We start from the raw sequence: 5378 nt of genomic DNA on the forward strand, positions 1-5378 counted from the left end.
AGCGAGTACTCTACCACTTGCGCTCACTCGTCACCTACCGCAAAACTTTCTGCCCTTTCCTTTATTCAGGAGTAGATGTGCGCGACTACCCACCATTTCTTGCGTCTCGGAACAAAGGAAATGTCTCGATTATTAGTGGGGAACCAGGACTCGACCTAAGGCGAGTCTACTCAAAAATGGCCAAGGGCAAGGGCATGATGGCTATTCCTCTGCGAGGGAGAGGGGAAAACGTAACCAGGAGAAAGTGGACACTGGAAAAGTCTGGTGCTGTAAGATTTCACGTTCCAGATTTTCAGGGAGAGAAGCGAGCACGTCCCAGCTGGGGAGCGCCCGCCCAGAGCGGCCTGCTAATTTGGCACAGCTATCCCAGGATGACGATCTTTCTTTTAAAAGAGGCGGGATTATCACTTGTTCCTTGCAGCTCTGGACTCCCGGGAAGAAGCGGCCACTCCCGGTCAGATTCTGGGAGACCAGAGAAACCTGTTGTTTCCGTTGAGTTTCAAATAGAGGACCTTCCATGTGTTAGGCCAGCGTGGTAACGACTACACCATAGAAACCCTTTGCATCACAGGCTTTTTATATTTTGAGATGAGCATTAAATACTGGTTTTTACAATTTTTTTAGTTGACAAGTACAAAATGTATATATTTATGATGTACAACATGATGTTTTCATATATGCATACATTGTGGAATGGTTAACTCGAGCTAATTAACGTATCTATTACTTAGTGTGTGTGTGTGATGGGAACACTTAAGTCTACTCTTTTAGCAACTATAAAGTACAGAATACACTTATTATTAACTGTAGTCACCATACGGCACAGTAGATCTGACCTTATTCCTCCTGTTTAACTGAAATTTTGTGTCCTTTGACAAACATCTCTCTAATTCCATTCCTACCTCCCATCTCCTCCCCTAGCCCCTGGTAACTACCATTCTACTCTCTGCTTTGATGAGTTTGACGTTTATTAGAGTTCACATTTAAGTGAGATCGTGCAGTATTTGTCTTTCTGCGCCTGGCTTATTTCACTTAACACAATGCCCTCCAGGTTCATCGACATCGAAAATGACAGGATTTCTGTTTTTTAAAAGACTGAATAGTATTTCATTGTGCAGTTGTAATATTTTCTTTATCCATTCATCTGCTGATAGACGCTTAGGTTGATTCAGCTACTTTAGTAGTAATTCTGCAATGAACATGAGAGTGCAGGTATCTCTTCAATAGCCCGATTTTTGAACATATACCCAGAAGTGGGATTGCTGGATCATATGATAGTGCTCTTTTTAGTTTTTTGAGGAACTGCTGTACAAAACAGCTGCACTAATTTACATTCCTACCAACAACGTACAAGGATTCTCTTTTCTCCACATTCTTGCCAACACCTGTTATCTTTTGCCTTTTTGATAGCAGCCATTTTAACAGGTGTGGTTTTGATTTGCATGTGCCTGATGATAAATGACATTAAGCAAGTTTTCATATGCCTGTTGGCAATGTGTCTTCCTTTGAGAAATGTCTATTAAGGTCCTTTCTCCATGTTTTAATTGGGTTATTTGTTTTCTTGCTATTGAGTTGAGTTCCTGATGTATTTTTTATATCAACCACTTACAGAAGTATGGTTTGCAAATATTTTCTCCCAATCTATCGGTTGTCTCTTCACTGTTGATTTTTTTTGGGGGGGGCTGTGCAGAAGTTCTTTAGTTTCATGTAATCTTATTTATCTATTTTTGTCTTTTTGCTTTTGGGGGGGTTCATATCCAAAAAATCATTGCACAGACCAATGTTATGGAGCATTCCCCATATGTTTTCTTCTAGAAGTTTTAGAGTCTCACATCTTATGTTTGTCTTCAATCAATTTTTAGTTGATTTTTGTATGTGGTATGAGATAAGGGCCTCCTATCATTTTTCTGCATGTAGATATCCAGTTGTCCCAACACCATTTATTGAAGAGACTATCCTTTCCTCATTATGTGTCTAGGCACGTCTGTCAAAAATTAATTGACTATAAATGTGTGGATTTATTTCTGCCCTCTCTATTCTGTTCCACTGGTTTATATGTCTGTTTTTCCACCAGTACTATGCTGTTTTGATTGCTATATATTTGTAGTATATTTTTAAAGTCAGGTAGTATGATGCCTCCAGTTTTGTTTTTGCTCAAGATTGCTTTGGCTATTTGGGGCCTTTTGTGCTTCCATATGAATTTTAAGGGTTTTTTTTTTCTATTTCTGTGAAAAATGTCATTGGGATTTTGATAGAGATTGCGCTGAATCTGTAGATCACTTTGGGGGGGTATGGATGTTTTAATAATATTAATTCTTCCAATCTATAAACACAGGATATCTTTCCATTTGTGTCTTCCTCAATTTCTTTCATCAGTGTTTAATAGTTTTCAGTATACAGACCTTTCACCTCCTTGGTTAAATTTATTTCTAAGTATTTTTTGTAGCTACTGTAAATGGGATCTTTAAAATTTTTTATTTTGGTTAGGTTGCCATTAGTGTATAGAAATGCTAGCTTTTGTATGTTGATTTTTGTATGTTGTTTTGTATTCTGCAACTGTACTGAAATTGTTTTTTATTTCTAACAGTTTTGATTTTTGGTGAGTTTTTTAGGGTTTTCTATATATAGGATTATGTCATCTACAAACAGGGACAATTTAACTTCTTCCTTTCTAATTTGGATGTCTTTTATTTCTTTCTCTTGCCTAATTGCTCTGGCTAGGACTTCCAGTACTATGTTAAATAGAAGTGGCAAGAGTGGATATCCTTGTCTTATTCCTGATCTTAAAAGGAAAGCTTTCAATTTTTTTCCCCACTGAGTATGATGTTAGATGTGGGTTTGTCCTATAAAGGCCTCTATTGTGTTAAGGTACATTCCTTCTATACCTAATTTTTGAGAGTTTTTAATCATGAAGGAATGTTAAATTTTGTCAAATGCTTTCTCTGCATCTATTGAGATGATGAGATGGTTTTTGTCTTTCATTCTGTTAATACGGTGGATCACACATTTACAGATTTGTATAAGTTGAACCATCTTTGTATCCCTGTGATAAATCCTGCTTGATCATGGTAAATAATTGTTTAAATGTGCTGTTGAATTCAATTCGCTAGTATTTTGTTGAGTATATTTGCATACATGTTCATCAGGGATATTGGTTTGTAATTTTTTTTTCTTTGTAGTGCTCTCCTCAGGCAATGGGTTCACGGTAATGCTGGCCTTGTGAAATGTGTTTGGGAGTATTTCCTCTACTTCAGTTTTTTGAAAGAGATCGAGAAGAACTGGTATTTCCTCTTTAAATGTTTCATCAAATTCAGCAGTGAAGTTGTCAGGTCCTAGGCTTTTCTCTGATGGTAGATTTATCACTGATTTAATCTCCTTACTTGTTTTTGCTCTGTTCAGAGTTTCTGATTCTGTCTTGCAAGTTGCATGTGTCTAGGAATTTATCCAGTTTTTAGGTTATCCAATTTGTTGGCATATAATTGTTCATAGTAGTTTTTAAATAATCCTTTGTATTTCTGTGGTAACAGTCGTTACCTCTTCAATTCATTTCTGATTACATTTCTGATTTTATTTGAGTCTTTGCATTTTTTTTCTTAATCAGTCTAGCTAAAGGTTTGTAAATTTTATTTACCTTTAAAAAAAATTCTTAGTTTGGTTGGTCTCTTTATTTTTTCTATCTTCTGTTTACTTCTTCTGATCTTTATCATTTCCGTCTTCCTACTAACTTTGTAACTAGCTTAGTTGATTGTTTTTCCAGTCCTTGAGGTGTAATGGATGCTAGGTAGTCTATTTGTGATCTTTCATCTTTTTTGATGAAAACTCTCTTAGAACTGCTCTTGTATCCTGTAAGTTTTGGTATATTGTATTTCCATTTTCATTTGTCCCAAAGTAATTTTTCAATTTCCCTTATGATTTCTTCTTTGACCCATTGGTTGTTCAGGAGCATGTTGTTTAATTTCCACATAGTTGTGAATTTTCAAAAATTCCTCCTGTTGTTGATTTCTTGTTTCATGCCATTGTGGCCAGAAAGGATACTTGATATGATTTCAGTCTTCTCAAATTTGTTAAGACTCATGTTGTGGCCTTATCTATGGCCTGTCCTGGAGAGTGTTTCATGTGCACCTGACCAGAATGTGTATTCTGGCTAGGACTTCCAGCACCATGTTAAATAGAAGTGACATTCTACTGTTGTTGGGTGGAATATTCTGTATATGTCTGTTAGGTCCATTTAGTCTAACGTATATATCAAGTCCAATATTTTCTATTGATTTTCTCTCTGGATGATCTGTTCATAGTTGAAAGTGGGGGACTGAAGTCCCCTCATATTATTCTATTGCAGTCTATCTCTTTCTTTAGATCTATGAATATTTGCTTTCTATATTTAGGTGCTCTAATGTTGGGTGCATATAAATTGATAATTGTTATATCCTGTTGATGAATTGACCTTTTTATCATAATATAAAGACCCCTTTCTCTCTTTTCACAATTTTTGACTTTAAGTCTACTTTATCTGATATAAGTATATCTGCTCTCTTTTCATTTCCATTTGCACAGAATGTCTTTTCCCATCTCTTCACTTTCAATCTGTGTGTCCTTAAAGGTGAGGTGAATTTCTTGTAGGCAGCATACAGTTGGGTCTTTTTTGGGATATATTTTTAATAATCCAGTTAGCCATTCTATATCTTTGTATTGAAGAATTTAATCCATTTACATGACGGCAATTATTGGCAGTTAAGGACATAGTATTGACATTTTGTTAAGTATTTTCTGGTTGTTTTTTAGGGTTTTTTGTTCCTTTCTTCCTCTCTTGCTGTTTTGATTGGTGATTCAATTATTTTCTGTGGTAGTATGCTGTTATTTGTTTCTCTTTATCTTTTGTGGATTTACTATAGGTTTTTGTCTCGTGGTTATCGTGAGGTTTACCTAAAACATTTTATAATTATATAATTATAACCGGCTATTTTAAACTTATAACAACTTAAATTTCAATCCCTGTTTATGTATTTCATATGTAGTCACATAACCATACCATATAAGTGAATAGCAAAAAACCAGAAATGTATTACAGAAAGGTGGCAAGGGGCAAGGCCATATTAAAGAGAAGAAATAAAAATAGATATAGCTGAGAAATGAAGATGAAGATGGCACACAGGACAGAAAGAACAGTGATGGTATAGAAATCTTTCAGTGTGTATTGTGGGACATACCTATTTAATTGGTGGGTGTGTGTGTGTATGTTTGTAAAATGCGTATTGATGGAAATAGTGTTGGGAAAGCCTAGACATTTGCAGATATATTGAGGAGAGGATTAACTCCAGGCGGGTGGCTTATGTAATCGAAGCAACATTTTAGGAAGAGGATTTTAGTTGTGAAGTTTA

This window comes from Homo sapiens, chromosome 6, assembly GCF_000001405.40.
Source record: "Homo sapiens chromosome 6, GRCh38.p14 Primary Assembly".
NCBI lineage: Eukaryota > Metazoa > Chordata > Mammalia > Primates > Hominidae > Homo > Homo sapiens.